Here is a 17,743-nt window from a genome sequence, read left to right as displayed (position 1 = left end):
TAGTTAAGATTCAGAAGGAATTTTATAGGTGTGATTAAATTAAGGATCTTGAGAAAGGGGTTATCTTGGCTTATCCAGGGAGCGCAGTGTGGTCACAAGGATCCTTGTAAGGGGAGACAGAGAGGAAGGAAGGCTACACTGCTGGCTCTCGACAAGCTGATGGCGCCATAAGATGGGAGCGGTGATGTGCCCTAGAAGCTGGAAAAGACAAGGGAACAATTTGCCCCAGACCCTCTAGAAGCAACGCAGCCCTGGGGACCACTGTAGACTCTTACCCATAAGAGAACTGCAAGAGGATAAATGTGTGTTGTTTTAAAGCACTGAGCTTGTGATATTCTGAATAAATGTGCATTTATTCACATTTATAATAAGAACTGTCAAATAAACATGTGTTGCTTTAGGGCACTGAGTTTGTGGTATTTTGTTCCAGCAGCAATAGGAGACCAATGCATGGTCTTTCTGGACTTTTAAGGAATTTGCTCAGCTTCTTCCCAAGTCAGAGACTTCAAACGTGTTGCCCCCATGGCCCAAGCCACCCTCTCTTCCCTCCCAACCTGTCCCTTCAGCTGGGTAATCTCCCTCAGCTTTCTGGCCTTGACCTACCTGATTCTCCCTGGCCCTACCTAGGCAGGCCAGGTCTTCATTCATCATCCGTCAACCCCTGCCCGTTGCTCTCATGACATCCTTTACTTTCGCACAAGCTTGTCCAACCCTCCGCCTGCAGGCTGAATGTGGCCCAACATAAATTTGTAAACTTACTTAAAACATTATGGGGTTTTTTTACGCGATTTTTTTTTTAGCTCATCAGCTACCGTTAGTGTAAGTTTGTTGTTGTTGTTGTTGTTTTTGGGATGGAGTCTCACTCTGTCACCAAGGCTGGAGTGCAGTGGTACCATCTGGTCTCACTGAAACCTCCGCCTCCTGGGTTCAAGCGATTCTGCTGCCTCAGCCTCTGGAGTAGCTGGGATTCCAGGCATGAACCACTATGCCAGCTCATTTTTGTATTTTTAATAGAGACAGTGTTTCACTGTGCTAGACAGGCTAGTCACAAACTCCTGACCTCAGGTGATCCGCCCATATAGGCCTCCCAAAGTGCTGGAATTACAGGCATGAGCCACTGCGCCCAGCCCCTGTTCATTTTTTTATGTGTGGCCCAAGACAATTCTTCTTCCAATGTAGCCCAGGGAAGCCAAAAGATTAGACGCCCCTGCTTAGCATATCCTGGGTCTCCCTCACTCCTCGCAATCCATCGCTGTCCCCCAGGGCCTCCAGCTGCAGCACCTCTCTGTCCTGCAGCCATTTACCTCATGCTCCTCCCTGACTGCTGGACTGAGGCTCTGTGAGGTCAGGGCCTGGCCCAGACATGGCTCAATGGATGCTCAATAGAAAGGCTGGATGTTGGAGGTGTGAGGACAGCCAGCTCCACTCCATCCCACAGCTGTCTCCTGCAGCAACCTTTCTGCACCCCCTGGCTCCTCCTCCTGTCATTCATTCATTCAACTCATTTGTTCAACTCCTGTCATCCACTCATCCAACAAACATAGAGGACTTAGCCTGTGTCAGGCTCTGACTTTCAGTTGGGATGGAAGACAGCGTCCTTACATGGACACTTGGATGACTAAGGAAGGAACTTAGTAGGTGCCAAAGTGACCCTAAGGTAGGTGCAACCTTTCTGCACCCCCTGGCTCCTCCTCCTGTCATTCATTCATTCAACTCATTTGTTCAACTCCTGTCATTCACTCATCCAACAAACATAGAGGACTTAGCCTGTGTCAGGCTCTGACTTTCAGTTGGGATGGAAGACAGCGTCCTTACATGGACACTTGGATGACTAAGGAAGGAACTTAGTAGGTGCCAAAGTGACCCTAAGGTAGGTGGCCTGAGGCCAGCAGGTATCCTGTGAAAACAATGGCAGAGACTCAGGCTCCCATACTGGGAGTCATATTATTGGTGTGCAGTACAAAATCACTGACAAAACACACCTGTGCCCATGAGCCAAGCATGCAAAGGGCCAAAGGTGTCTGCTGGAATTTCTTCAAAGAGGCAGCTCTGTGCGAGCACTGAGCATGCACACTTGTGGACCCCTGTCCTGGGCGAGGACCATGCCTGAGTTCTTCTGCTAGGAGATCCACCCTCTCTCCCAAATCACTCACCAGAGGTTCTCCCCTCTGCCCAGGCTCATAAAGATTTGAGAGCTCAGCCAGGTGCGGTGGCTCACGCCTGCTAATCCCAGCACTTTGGGAGGCCGAGGCAGGCGGATCACGAGGTCAGGAGTTCGAGACCAGCCTGGCCAACATTGTGAAACCCTGTCTCTACTAAAAATACAAAAATTAGCCAGGCGTAGTGGTGCGCACCTGTAGTCCCAGCTACTCAGGAGGCTGAGGCAAAAGAATCGCTTGAACCCTGGAGGCAGAGGTTGCAGTGAGCTGAGATCGTGCCACGGCACTCCAGCCTGGGCAAGAGAGCGACACTCCGTCTCAAAAAAAAAAACAAAAAAAAAAACACAAAGATTTGCGAGCTCAGAGACAAAGGAAATGCCATGTGTTTTCCCCTTCTTCTGAGCCCCGTGGGGCCAGAGCACGCCTTCCTCTGCCTTGGCAATGACAGACAAGCTGGGGTCCTTCCCCATTGCCAGCTCTGCAGCACTGCCCTCCTGGGAACCACATTCAGTCATTCTGTGGAGTTTTCATGATGGGTTTCATCATCAGATTCATTTCCTCCATGGGAGTAGACTCTTCAGCAAGTCACATTACCTCTCCGGGCCTCAGTTTCCCCTCTTGTGAAACAACAGGGTAGAACTTAAGGGCCCTTCCTGTTTTCTCTGACAGTCTGAATCTGTCTTGTGCACGTACATAGCCCTGCAATAGTGTCAAAGATCTTTAATTGTTGGATGGAAAAGAAAGGAACCTGTGGGTTTTGAGGGGGGACAGGTACCGCCAAATGCAGATGATGATTCTGAGAGCACCTTTGACGGGCCAGATCTCGTACTCTGAGTTTATCTGCGCCACTTGTTGTCTGGCAAGTCCAGTGATGCTGTGGTCTCCAGCTGATTCTATCTGAGCTGCTCCTGGGGTGGCAGCTCTCAGAAGTGTGGGAGAGGATGCAGGCGATGGGGAGGGACCGGGACCGCATGCTCCCTCCAGGACATAGCGCACAACGGTGGTCTGGGGTAGGATGAAGTATAAGTGCTCTGCTTCAGGCCAGCCTTGGGTGTGAGCTGTCTCTGCTTGAGCTGCTCATAGAGTCCATAGTTTGTAGGGGGAGCTGCAAGAGAAACCAGGGTCCAGTTGAATGGGGCTTACAGAAGGAGTCTTGCTCTAAATGGCCAATGGCCACGAGACTGGGCAGCAGGGGCCCTGGAGATTTTCCCAGGCTGCTCTGTCAGGGACCAAGGCTGGCAGAGGCCCACAGGGAAGAGCCTTGCAGAGAGCATTGGTTCAGCCAGCCCCTGGCGGTCTCAAGGTGCACCTGCATCCCAAGTGCTCAGGGGAGATCAGGCTCTGCCACGGGGGCCTTGGAAAAGTCAGCCCCATGGTGTGGTTGTGCGTGGCCTCGCTGGTCCTGAGTAATTGTCCCACCCCTGTCGGGAAGGAAGCTGTGTGCACTGAGAGTGATGTTGAGAAGAATCCCATGCAAAAGTAATGCAGAGTGACCAGCAGCTCATCCTCTGACCTGTGTCCCTTTGCATCAAAAGGTAGGACCACAAAGAGCTGGCACTGCTCTGTGTCCTCACTAGTGTGGACGTGGCTTGAAATGTAAATCACATCAAGGCACTCTCCTACAAAAGTGCATTCCAAGTCTTGGGATTGTGGATAGGACAAATTTCATTCCCTTCACTGTGCCCTATGAACCCCTACATGATCCTCCTCCATTCCTGCCTTAGAACTTTTTCATTTACTGTTCCTTCCTCTGGAATGTCCTCCCCCTCAATCCCTGTATGGCTCCCTTCTTCCCAATTCAACTCTATCTCCTCAACAAAGACCACCCCTCACTTTTCCAAGGAGGAATTTGTGAACCAAAGGAGGTTCACAAATTCACCACCTCACTTTCTCTCCATTACCTGTTTTCTTTATAGCGCACACTCCTGTCTAAAATTATCTATGTGATCTTAAGTGTTCTTACTTTTTAATGGTGTCTTATCTGTTTCCCCCCTGGAATGTCAACTCCCCGAGTCCAGAAATTCCTCAGTGTTTGTTATCATTGCAGCAGGGAGCACTACCTGGGAAATATTGTCATTATTCATGTAGTAAATAAGACTGGGAGGAAGGATGCGTGGATGTTGCTCCCTGCCACCTGTGCTCTAAGCCCGCCACCATGGGGCACAGGTGATGGCTTCATTACACAGCCAAGATTACCCCAGGTCAAAGGGAAAGGACAGGAGGCAGCCCTGAGGGTACAATAGAACTCAGCCCCTACTATGTCATCCGCTGCTCTCCTGGAGCCAGGGTCACCTGTGTGGCTCCTTCTGCATGAGGCAGGTACAGCTCCGTTGGTCTGTGCAACTTTACAGACCAACGCAGAGGAATACCCTGAATTATAAAGGTACCAAGAAGGGGAAAGTCAGACTTCTCTGGCAGCCACAGCAACTTCTGTCCATTCCAAGTGCGGAGTGGAGGCAGCCCCGGGTTGTAACCATGCCGGTTGTAATGGTCGTCATAGGTGCTGATCAGGTAGCGATGTGGGGGCTCCTGGTGGTGGGTGATCAGGTGTTTGTAAGGTAGCCCCTGGAAGGACAGACACAGTGGGCTCGTTACTGATAGGAGCGAAGCATCCACCTGGCCATGGTGGAGACAGGAGCTGCCACATGTAGGGGTCTGTGGTGCTGATGGAGAGAGCGGGCATCCGTGGGCTGGCAAAGGGTCTTCAGAAACACACTTGTTTATCCCACTCTGAGGCATCCCACATTCAAACACATCCCAGCTGGCTGCAGTTAGTTCTCTGTATGGCCGGTCCCATGCCAAGTCAATTCATTCCTAGAATGAGCTATGGTGGCACATTAAAATTAAAGCCAGGACATCCTGCTGAATGGGAAGAGTCAGCACCACCTCACTTGTGATCTGAAATTGCAGCCTGATTTGTCTCAAGTCTCATGAATCCAAGCCTGTTCCTAAGGGCAAGGACAAGATGGTGAAAGCCAGCCTGACATGTATGCCTTATATTTCAGTCTGTTACTGTGGGAAGAATCAGAGAACACCCCATAAATTGCCTTCTCTTGCACAGGATTTACAGCTTGCTCAGCTGGAAACTAGGGGAGTGATTTCTTTGGTGAGGAGTAATTTACAGTGAGAAGAAAGCCATGTTCTCCTTACTCTGGGATGTTTGCCTGAATCAGTGCTTTTCCTAAGAAAATCCTCTTGGGCCCAGAAGGGAATCCTGGGGATCTGCACTGACTTACAAGGGGGCATAATGTTGATTTCCATGCTTGCCCTCTTGTCTGGAGCAGACAGGGAGGCCTGTGTCTGCTATGGTCTGGAAATGCCGGCTGCACCCAATATTTCAAGTGGTGGCCCCATAAATAAGTCAGATCACAATGCCAGAGGAAGACAAGGGGGGTGGGCACAGACATTAAGCAGGATTCCCAAGATCCACATCACCAGGTACCCCATAGTGTATTTCTAATGCCAAAGTGACTTGGAGGGTTTCCCATCAACAAAGGGAATTGCAGAAGCAGCCTCGTGGCATGGGAGGTAGAGAGGCCAGGAGGAATTTTCTTGCAGTTTCTCTTGATTTGGGGTGTGTCTTTACTGTATGCCTGGGATTTTTCCTTATTAGGGTTTGGGAAAGTGACAGCCACAGAGACAGCTACCTTTGAAAGGAGAGCTTGTTACTTACAGTTCTCAAGAGGAAGGGCACGCCATGCCCTGCAGGGCCACATCAGGAAGAACCAGCATTGGTCTCTGGTCGGGAGGCAGAAGGAACAAGGTGGAGGGGCAGGGCCCAGAGCCTTTACTGTGGTTTCCATGGGAACCATTGGGCGAGGCACGGTGGACAAGTTTAGGACTGGATAGTGTGAATAGTTTTTGTGGGCTCTGGGCCCTAGGGGAGGTCTCTAGTGTCCACTACTTGGCCCTGGGGTGATTTAAGGCAGAGGAAATATTGGCTTGGTATGTGAGAATTAGATAAAGGAGGCGGTTGGGGATACGGGCTTTGGAGTCATTTTTGCCTAACAAGGAAGAGCAAAGTGGGAGTGGGAGATGGAGGAGGAAGCTGTCCTAGGAGAAGGAGGGCAACATGAAGCAAACAGAAGAGCTGACAGAGTTGAAGCAGCTGTGTGGAAGCAGGGTTATGTTCAGGGCCCCATCCCACAAGCAGGCAATTTGAACAGAAACCTTAAAAATAAATATTCAGGGCCAGGTGCCGTGGCTCACGCCTGTAATCCCAGCAGTTTGAGAGGCCAAGGTGGGCAGATTACTTGAGACCAGGAGTTCAGGACTAGCCTGACCAACATGGCAAAACCCTATCTCTACTAAAAATACAAAAAAAATTAGCCAGCTGTGTTGGCACACACCTGTAATCCCAGCTACTTGGAAGGCTGAGGCAAGGAGAATTGTTCCAACCCAGGAGGCTGAGGTTTCAGTGAGCCAACATCACACCACTGCACTCTAGCCTGGGGGACAGAGAGAGACTCTATCTCAAAAAAAAAGAAAAGAAAAAAAGGAAAAAAAAGAAAAAGAAAGAAAAGAAAAGAGAAAAGAAAAGAAAAGAAAAAAAGAAATGAATATTCCATCGTCTGTTCTGTTGGAGATGACAATGCGGGGGGGTGGTGGGTGGAGTTCTTAATTTTAACCAGACTGTATGTTAAACTCTTAGTCAGAGCTTGTAATGGGTCCAAAGGCTATCTAAATGTTCTGCAATGCACTGAAAACTAGGGTCAATACCTCACATACATGGATGGTTAGAGGCTGAGAGCCCCAGATCCTGGGTTCTAACTTTGACTTGTTTATGTTAAAATTCATTTGTGTCTTTAATGCGCACTGCTGGTGAAGCTCAGCAGCCCCAGAGCATCAGCTTGCTTGGAGATGTCAGTGTGGTCTGAGGATGAGGGAGTCATCTGGGGTTGCCAGCACAGAGCTGAAAATCTGTTGCTGCTTATCCTGACATGGATCCCTAAATGCAGAATGCAAATAGGCGACTCTGGCAGATGAGGAATGGAATCTGAGGACACTCTTTGCCTGATTTGCAGAGCAGCAACTTGCTTCATCCCTAACAACAAGCCACACAGCTTTGAAAAAGCCACTTCACACCTCGGGCCGCTGAGCTGAATGAATCTCTTGGGTCCCTCCAAGCACTAAAATGCCCCAATTCCAAAAGATGTCCACTACCTTAATCCATGTCTGTCTGCTGCCACCCTGAGTTGAAGCAGGTATAGTAGGGTCAGGTGGGGTGGGAGTGGGGAGACAGAAATCGCTTATAAGAGCAGCAGGCTGGCAAAAGAAACAACTCAAGGGAACTCCCAGAGTGTGGTGGGGACAGAGCACAGCTGCACACCCAGTGGGTGAGCACCTACAAGCTTGCTCTCCCCAGGCTGTGCCTGCTGGGAGCTACCCACAGGGGTTATTGCAGGAGACGGCTTTCCCTGCTGTTCCTGGAAGGGCCAGGATCTCAGCCTCTGGCACACCAAGTTAATAATTGTCTCCTACATACTCACTAGTGGGATTGCTAAAGATAATAATAGTCTCAAATGCCCCTCCTTGGGTGTGGAGGGCATGTTCTGAGGTTGCAATGCCCTGCTCTCTGCTTCCAACACCTGGAACACCATGATTCCTAGACAAGTGCCCAGTCAATACGGTGTGTGGATGGTGCTTGACTTTTCATGCGAAAGAACAGGAAGCTGGAGCACAGATAATACACAACACTGTTTGTCCAAATACATCACTGCCAGCTGCTTTTGCAGTGCCTTATGTGATTCCTGACTATATGCATCATTTACCTTTGGTTGCTATTTCTTGCATTCTTTGCCTATATTCTGTTGGAAGAGTGTGATCCAGGTGCTGGGATATAGGTTGGAGGGAATGCTACCAGTTTGACATTAAACAGATCATCAGCCCACACAGGTAATTATTGGTTAGTGCTATCTGCAGCCCCCGGGCTGGGAGGGTATTAATGAGACTACTCCTGATTTCCCCCAAGACGGTACTAAGCCTATAAGAAGCTGGCTGGTGTCCCCTGAGCTTTGGGTGGGGTCCAGGCCTGAGTGTCCCAGTTGCCACTCCCTCTTACCTCAACTTTCCTCTTCCCATACCACCTGGAGATCTGGTCTGGTCTGTGGTCTGGGAAGGGGATGTATTCTTTTCTGTAAATGGATTGGGGTGTCTTGTCAGTGTCTCTGGTGAACTGGAAAAGACCAAATATTCAGGAAAACCTCTGAGATGCCACTTCTCAAACTTCTGCTGGGTCCCCTTACCTCCTGGGCCATCAGAAGATGGGTAGGGAAAAGGTAAATATAAACCCCTGGACACCCTGCCCAACACAGGAAAGAGCTTGCTCGGGGACGGGGAGCCTGCCATCCGGCACCCCCGGGAAGAGCTGTCATTGGCTCCCCTGGTCACCTCATCATCCGCACCTGTGTCCTTTCTCATCTTCTCTCTCCCTGCTCTTCTCTCCTCTTTGCCTCCTCCTTTTTTTTTTTGGACATGGAGTCTCACTCTGTCACCAGGCTGGAGTGCAGTGGCGCAATCTCGGCTCACTGCAACCTCTGCCTCTCGGGTTCAAGCAATTCCCCTGTCTCAGCCTCCTGAGTAGCTGGGATTACAGGCATGGGCCGCCATGCCCAGCTAATTTTTGTATTTTCAGAAGAGAGGGCGTTTTGCCATGTTGGCTAGGATGGTCTCGATCTCTCAACCTTGTGATCCACGTGCCTCGGCCTCCCAAAGTGCTGGGATTACAGGCATGAGCCACTGTGCCCGGCCCTCCCTTTCTTTCTCTTCTTTGTTCCTCATTCTTTCCAACTCTCTCACCTTTCAAATTACATTTTGTTCTCTAATTAGTTTTCTTAAAGTTTAATATGGTAAAATATATTCAACATAAAATGTATTTACCATTTTAGCCATTTTCAACTCTACGGTTCAGTGACATTCACGCTGTTGTGCAATCATCACCACCATCCATCTCTAGAACTTTACTTACATTGCAAAACTGAAACTCTGTGACCGTTAAGCACCAACTCTCCATTCTCCTGTCACTGCAGCCCCTTGCTACCATCACTCTACTTTCTCTGTATGAACTTGCCTGTTACAGGCACCCTATGTAAGTAGAATCACACAATGTTTGTCCTTCTGTGTCTGTCTTAGCTCACTTAGTATAATGTCTTCCAAATTCATCCATTTGATAGCATGTGTCAGAATCTTCTTCCTTTTTAAGGTTTGATTATATTCCATGATACACTTACACCATGTTTTGTTTATCCATTCATCCATCAGTGGGTACTTGGGTTGCATCCAACTTTTGGTTACTGTGAATAGTTACTATTAATGTGAATGTACAAATATCTTTTTGAGTCCCTGCTTTCGATTCTTTTAGGCATACAACCAGAAGTGTAATTGCTGGATCATATGGTAATTCTATGTCTAATTTTTTTTGGGAACTCCCATATTGTTTTCCACAGTGGCAGTACCATTTAGGGCACAAGGGTGCCCATTTCTTCATATCCTCACCAACACTTGATATTTTCTGTTTTTTGATACTAGCCATACTAAAGGGTGAAGTGGTATCTCATTGTAATTTTGATTTGGATTTCCCTAATAATCAGTGAGGTTGACTATGTTTATGTGTTTATTGGCCATTTGTACATCTTCTTTGGAGAAATACCTATTCAGCTCCTTTGTCATTTTTTAATCAGGTTGCTTGTCTTTGGCTATTGTTGAGTTATAGAAGTCCTTTACATATTCTGGATATTAGTCCCTTATCAGATATATGATTTGCAAATATTCTCTCCTACTCCATTGGTTGTCATTTACTCTGTTGTTAGTGTCCTTTGAGGCACAAAGTTTTTTGTTTTGATGACGTCCAGTTTATTATTTTTTTCTTGTGTTGCCTGTGCTTTTGGTGTCACATCAAGAAATTCTTGCTAAAGCCAATGTCATGAGAATTTTCCCCGATGTTTTCTTCTTTTTTTATTTAATTAAAAAAAAAGAGAGAGATAAGTTCTTGCTGTGTCGCCTAGGCTGGTCTTGAACTCCTTTCCTCAAGCAGTCCTCCTGCCTCAGACTCTCAAAGTGCTGGGATTACTGGCATGAGTCACCACACCCAGCCCCCTATGTTTTCTTCTAAGAGTTTTGTAGTTTTAGGTCTCATCCAGGTCTCTGATCCACTTTGAGTTCAGTTTTGTATATGGAATTAGGGAAGGGTCTAACTTTATTTTTTCGCACCTAGATATCCACTTTACTGAACACCATTTATTGAAGAAATTGTCCTTTCCCCCATTGAACAGGTTTAGCATCCTCGTCAAGAGTCATTTGACCGTATATACAAATGTTTATTTCTAGGCTCTCTCTTTTGTTCTATAGGTCTATGTATCTATCTGTATGCCAGTATCACACTGTCTTGATTACTGTAGCTTTTAGTAAGTTTTGAAACTGAGACATGTGAGTCTTCCAATTTTGTTCTTTTTTTCAAGATTGTTTTGGCCATTTGGAGTCTCTTGAGATTTTATATGAATTTTAGGATGGATTTTATGTCTGCAAAAAAAAAAAACCTTTACTGGGGTTTTGATAATGATTGCATTGAATCTGTAGATAGCTTTGTGTAGTATTGATATCTTAACAATATTAAGTCTTCCATCCATGAACACAGGGTGTCATTCCATTTATTTATGTCCTCTTTATATTTTTCAGCAGTGTTTTGTAGTGTTCAATGTATATAAGTCTTTCATCTCCTTGGTTAAGTCTACTCTTAAATACTTTATTTTTTGATGTTACTGTAAATGGAATTTTCTTAATTTCCTTTTCAGAGTTCACTGTTAGTGTTTACAAACACAATCAACTTTTGCATACTTTGCTTAACTCATTTATTAGTTCTAACAGTTTGTGTATGGGTGCATGTGTGTGTGTTTCCTATATATAAAATCATTAGAGGTTTCCTGTATATAAAATCATGCCATCTGCGAAAAGAGAGAAAATTTTACATTTTCCTTTCCAATTTGGAAGCTTTTCCTTTTCTTTCCTAATTTTTCTGGCTAGAACTTCCAGCACTATGTTGAACAAAAGTGGAAAAGGCTGGCATTTTTGTCTTATTCCTAATCTTAAAGGAAAAGCTTTCAATCTTTCACCATTGGGTATTATGTTAGCTGTGGGTTTTTGTTACTATGTTGAGGCAGTTTCCTTCTATGCCTAGTTTGTCAAATGCTTTTCTTTATAAAAAGAAGTTTAATTTTGCACAATGCTTTTTCTACATTGTGATGATCATGTCTTTTTTTCCTTCATTCTAGTATATTGGTTAATTTTTATATATTAATTTTTTTTTTTTTTTTTTTTTTTTTTTAGACAGAGTCGGCCAGGCTGAAGTGCAGTGGTGAGATCTTGGCTCACTGCAACCTCCACCTCTCAGGTTCAAGCAATTTTCAAGCTGGGACTACAGGCACATGCCACTATGCCCAGCTAATTTTTGTATTTTTTGTAGGGACAAGGTTTCATCATGTTGGCCAGGCTGGTCTCAAACTCATGACCTCAACTGATCTGCCTGCCTTGGCTTCCCAAAGTGCTGGGACTACAGGCATGAGCCACTATGCCCAGCCCTGAACCATTCTTGCATTCCAGGAAGGAATCTCACTTGGTCATGGTGTCTATAACCCTTTTAATATAATATTGAATGGGGGTTTCTACTATTTGCTTGAGGATTTTTGCATCAATATTCATAAGGAATATTGGTTTGTAGTTTTCTTTTCTTGTGATGTCTTCGCCTTTAGTATCAGGGTAATGCTGAGCTCATAAAATTAGTTAGAATTTATTTCTTCCTCTTCAATATTCTGGAAGCATTTGAGAAGGACTGATGTTAATTCTTTTCAAAATATTTGTTAGAATTCACCACTGAAGTCATTTGGTCTTAGGCTTTCCTTTGTTGGGAGATTTTTGGTTACTAATTCAATCTCTTCACTAGTTATAGATCTATTCAGATTTTCTATTTCTTTATAATTCAGTCTCGATAGATTGTATATTTCTTGGAATTTCTCCATTTCATGGAGAATTATATAAATATTCCAATTGTTAGCATAAATTGTTCACAGTATTCTCTTATTATCTTTTTATGTCAGAAAAAAGTTGGTAATTATTTTACACTTTCATTTCTAATTTTAGTTACTTGCATCTCTTCTCTTTTTTTCCGTTAGTCAATATAGATAATCATTTGTAAATTTTATTGATTTTTCAAAAAACCAATTTGGTTTTCTCTTTGTTTGCTTGCTTGTTTGTTTAGAGATGGAGTCTCGGTCTGTCACCCAGGTTGGAGTGCAGTGGTATAATCTCGGCTCACTGAAACCTCCGCCTCCCAGGTTCAAGCAATTCTCCTGCCTCAGTCTCCCTAGTAGTTGGAATTACAGGCATGCACCACGACACCCAGCTAATTTTTGTATTTTTGGTAGAGACGGGATTTCGCCATGTTGGCCAGGCTGGTCTCAAACTCCTGACCTCAGATGATCCACCCACCTCGGCCTCCCAAAGTGCTGGGATTACAGGCATGAGCCACCGCGCCCGGTCCCAACTCGGTTTTATTGATTTTTTCTGTTGTTTTCCTATTTCCTATTTTACTTATCTCTTCTCTAAATATTTAATTTCCTTCCTTCTGCTAGCTTTGCATTTAGTTTGTTCTTTTTTTTCTGTTTTCTTAAAGTGTAAAGCTAGGTTTCTAATTTGAGATATTTCTTCTTTTTTAATGTGTTTACAGCTGTAAATTTCCCTCTTAACAGTACTTTCACTACCTCCCATAAGTTTTGGTATGTTGTATTTTCATTACTATTTTTTAATTTTTCTGTGATTTTTCTCTTTACTGATTTTTTTTAAAACAGTGTTGTTTAATTTCCACATATTGGTGGATTTTTCAGTATTTCTTCTGCTATTAATCGTTAAGTTCATTTCATTTGTGATCAGGAAAGATACTTTGTATGATTTTAATCTTTATAATTTATTAAAACTTGTTTTGTAGTCTAACATATGGTATATCCTGGAGAATATTCCATATGTACTTGAGAAAAAAAAAACACACGTATTCTGCCTTTGTTGGGTGGAGTGCCTATCAGGTCCAATTGATCTATAGGGTTGTTCTACTATTACTGTAGAGCCATCTATTTCTCCCTTCAATTCTGTCCATTTTTGCTTCATTTATTTCAGAGCTCTAATATTTGGTGTGTACATGTGTGTAACTATTGTACCTTCTTCTTGGTGAATTGGCCCTTTTATCAATATATAGTGTCCCTCTTTGTCTCATAATAGTTTTTAACCTAAAGCCTACTTCGTCTGATACTAGCCATACCTGCTCCCTTCTGGCACTATTTGCACAAAATATCTTTTTGCTTCCTTTCACTTTCAACTTACATGTGTACTTCAATCTATAGTCACTCTCTTGTAGGCAGCATATAGTTGGATCCTGTTTTATAAATCTCTCTGCTAATGTATGCCTTTCATTTGGAAGTTTAATCCATTTACATTTAAAAGTGATTACTGATAGGGAAGGACTTATATTTGCCATTTTAGTATTTGTTTTCTGTATGTCTTGTAGATTTTTGCCCCTTATTTGTTCTCTTACTATCTTCTTTTGTGTTTAATTTTTGAGGGCCACATTTTGATTCCCTTATTATTTTCTTTTGTGAATATTTTATAGGCATTTTCTTTGTGGGTCCCATGGGGATTATACACAATATCCTACAGTTATAACAACATATTTTAAATTGCGACCAACTGAAATTGTATACCAAAACTCTACTCTTTTATAGCTCTGCCTCCCTCTGCTTTATGTTATTGAAGGCACAAATTACATCTTTATATAATGCAGACTCATTTACATAGATTTATAATTTTATGCATTTGTCTTCTAAATTCTGTCAAAAATAAAGAGTAGAGTTACATCCCAAAATTATAATAATCCTGGCTTTTAAGTTTGTCTACATATTTACCTTTACTGGAGAACTTTATATTTTTGCACAGCTTCAAGTTACTGTCTAATGTCCTTTTGTTTCAACTTGAAGGATTCTCTTTAGTCTTCCTTGCAAGGTAGGTCTACTGTCAATAAACACCCTCAGCTTTTGTTTATCTGGGAATGTCTTAACATCTCCCTCTTTTTCAAGAGACAATTTTGTGGAATACAGAATTATCAGATAACAGTATTTTTTTTACCAGCACTTTAAATGTATTATCCCACTGCCTTCCAGGCTCCAAGGTTTCTGCTGAGAAAATCCCTAATAATCTGTTTTTGTTTTTTTGTGTTTTTTTAAGACAGGGCCTCACTCTCACTCTGTTTCCCAGGCTGGAGTGCAGTGGCATGATTTCGGCTCACTAGAACCTCCACCTCCCAGGCTCAGGTGATCCTCCCACCTCAGCCTCCTGAGTAGCTAGGACTATTGGCATATACCACTGTGCCCAGCTAATTTGTATATCTTTTGTAGACATAGGGTTTTACCATGTTGCCCAGCTGGTCTCGAACTCCTGGGCTCAAGCAATCTACCTGCCTTATCCTCCCAAAGTGCTGAGATTCAGGCATGAGCCACCACATCTGTCAATCCCATAACAATCTCACTGAGGAGCCATTGTTCTTGATGAGTTACTTTTCTCCTAGTGCTCTCAAGATTCTCTCTTTGTTTTTGGGTTTCAATATCTTAATTATAAAGTGCTTCAATGAGGGTCTCTTTAGATTTTTTATACTTGGAGTTCATTGAACTTCTTGGATTTGTAGATTTATGTATTTACTCAAATTTGGGAAGATTTTAATCACTATTTTTTCAAATACTCTTTTAGCCCCTTTCTCTCTCTCTTCTCCTTATGGAATTCCCTTAATGCATGTATTAATCTGCTTCATAGTGTCCCATAAGTCCCTTAGGCTCTGTTCACTGCCTTTAAATTTGCTGATTCTTTCTCCTGCCTATTCAAATCTGCTGCTGAATCCCTCTATTGAATTTTTCAATTCAGTTATTGCATTTTTCAGCTCTAAAACTGGTTTGACTCCTTTTTATAATTTCAATCTCCTTTTTAATATTCTCATTTTGCTCATGTATTGTTTTCCTGATTTACTTTAGTTCTTTGTGTCCTTTACCTATTTGTCCATATTTAAGATGGTTGTTTTAAAGTATTTGACTAGTACCTTGATGCTTGTGTTTATTCTCTCACTTTATTTTCTTCCTTTGGATGGGCCACTTTTTTTTTCTGTATCTTCATACGTCTGGTGATTTTTCGTTGAAAATTGGGCGTTTGAAAAGCAGCCAAATCTTCCAGTATTTGTAGACTGACTCTGTGCAGGGAAGACCTTTTCTAACTAGCAGGTAATGTTCTGAGTCTTGGGGTCAGCCCAACATGAAGGCTTAAAATATTCTCAACTCTTTTCTGGTGTACATCTTGCCTGGACCTGTGTGTGGTTTTTTTTTTTTTTTTTTTAATTCCCCTACATACACAGCTGCTTTTAAATGTTTTAATTTCCAAAAAAAAGTCTCACCCCTGCTTCTTCTTCGACTTCAGATGTTCTATTGTATTCCTCTATCCATAATCTCTTGCCCCAGATATTTATAGATCTGTAATCCCCTGGCAGCTTTCACTAGCTGTGCCTATCATTGCTTTCCATGGCTTTTCCCAGCTGAGATCTGAACCATGCCACCTTTTCCCATCTGAGCTCCAAGTTAGACGAAATAGAGAGCAATCCCTCAGGCAGCCCCAGACAGGTTCAAATGTTGCTCCACTCACTCTGGATTTGAAAGAGGGAACTTGGAGCCGAGCTGCCACTTACCCTAAAATGCAGACTATGCTGTGCTGTGCTGGGGTGGTAGTAGGAGAGGACAAGTAAAAACATCATGGAATTTCCTATTCATTTTGAATGTGTCTTTTTCTTGATTGGGCATTTGATTTGTCGCTATATATCTTTGACTGTTTTCCAGAGCTCCTATAACGTTTTTGTGCTTTTTTCTTTAATGTTTCCATGGGGAATGAGAACCTGGAGCTTCTTAGTCTGCTACCTTGTTGACATCACTCCAACTCCACTATTTTTATGCAATCTTCTCTAGGTGTGAGACCATCCCATAATATCCCTGAGTACTGCATCACCCATGGGCACCTGAAGGTATTTTCAACCAGTCCTTCTTGCTTTTGGAACTTCTCTTGCACACACCTGCTCACCAAACAAGGCCAAGTACATTTGTAGCTGATGATGACTGAAGGTTGTATCTGGCCAGAGAGGTGGTGATTACTAATGTTCTCCAGGAAAACAGCCTTTAACCTTCCCTTCTTTTCCCCATACCAAAGCTGAGTATTCTATTTCACCTTCTTTTCCTTGCCCACTTCCCAAGAAGACATGGGGAAGTCTAGATGTCTCTGAAAAGCTTTAAGTGGCTCAGTCTTGCCAAACACAAATGAAGATATTCAATTTCAAGTATGCCAACTTGAAACTTTGCCAACTCAGGCAAAGTATTTTCCAAAGACCTTTAAAACACAGTGGAAAACCAAGAGCCAAATTGTTCTGTTTGAAAGCAAAAATTGAGGCCAGGCACAGTGGCTCATGCCTGTAACCCCAGCACTTGGGGAAGCCAAGGTCGGCACATCACTTGAGCTCAGGAGTTCAAGACCAGCCTGGCCAACATGGTGAAGCCCCATCTCTACTAAAAATACAAAAAATTAGCTGGGCATGGTGGCATGCACTTGTAGTCCCAGCTACTTGGGAGGCTGAGGCAAGAGAATCGCTTGAGCCTGGGAGGTGAAGGTTGCAGTGAACCGAGATCATGCCACTGCACTCTAGCCTGGGCAACAGAGCGAGACTCTGTCTCAAAAAAAAAAAAAAGTAAAAATTGAAATGCATTAGTAGGGCAGGATTGTGGAAAGGTGCCAGAGAGCAGCAGCAAATCCCTGGACATCAGCACAGAGAGTGGCAAGCTGGCCTCAGGAGATACCATATTCTGGGAAGGGCCAGAATGAGGAGAGCAAATGTTCTTCAAATTAAGGTACAAAGGAATTAAGGACAGAAAACATCCAGATGCCTAGAAACACTTCACTGAGAAGAGTGCTGAGAGGCACGACTATATTGACACCCTGTTACAGTATTTTCAATGCCCCTGTTATATCTGTAAGAGAGTGTCAGTGGTCTTTTCGATAACCATCATGTATGAAACAGTCATAGAAACCATGCAAAATGCGTGAATATTGATGATTGCTTGAATGTAACTATCCTTTGTAGAGCACAGAGACCCCAATGCCACATTTTTAAGATGCAATCATCTGCTGCCCTCCATTTGAAAATAGTGATGAACTTCACTCCTGCCTCTCCCCATCAGTCCCTCTGAGCCCTCTCTCCAACCTCTCTCGTTTCCTTACCTTTCTCCTCTCTTCCATCCAATTTCCAGTGAGCACTTTCGTTGAATACTTGGTCTCAATCTGCCAGCTCGGAGTAGAGAGTGGCTGTGGATTTACTGCAGTCAAAAACATGTTAAGGATTTGCCCCAGGTTTCTTTGACTTGATGCAGTTTAAGGCTTCAGGCGGGGAGAGGAAGGTGTTATGAAGTTGCTGAGTTTGGGGTGCCTATTTTGTCTTCCCAGCTGGCCTCCTGAATGGCTAGTAGATGACT

At 43.9% G+C, this 17,743-nt stretch overlaps 1 protein-coding gene across 2 annotated transcripts in view; it reads right to left on the bottom strand.

Moving 5' to 3' along the window:
* Positions 1–334: 334 nt before the first annotated feature.
* CFAP107 (cilia and flagella associated protein 107) overlaps positions 335–17,743 on the bottom strand; it is a 17,500-nt gene continuing 91 nt past the window's right edge. Inside the window, exons 1-4 of one of the 2 annotated variants that reach the window (NM_152290.4) lie at positions 17,493–17,743; positions 8,221–8,334; positions 4,547–4,724; positions 335–3,264 (exon numbers count right to left, since the gene is read on the bottom strand). The exon at positions 17,493–17,743 is cut by the window's right edge and continues 91 nt beyond it. In NM_152290.4, coding sequence (NP_689503.3) covers positions 3,083–3,264; positions 4,547–4,724; positions 8,221–8,334; positions 17,493–17,603 — 585 coding nt within the window. In that variant the 5' untranslated portion in view covers positions 17,604–17,743 and the 3' untranslated portion in view covers positions 335–3,082. The remainder of the gene's footprint in view (positions 3,265–4,546; positions 4,725–8,220; positions 8,335–17,492) is intronic. The other variant, NM_001330361.2, reaches the window with a different exon arrangement.

Source organism: Homo sapiens, chromosome 1 (assembly GCF_000001405.40).
Source record: "Homo sapiens chromosome 1, GRCh38.p14 Primary Assembly".
Taxonomy (NCBI): Eukaryota; Metazoa; Chordata; class Mammalia; order Primates; family Hominidae; genus Homo; species Homo sapiens.
This window is presented reverse-complemented; position numbering and strand designations above follow the sequence as displayed.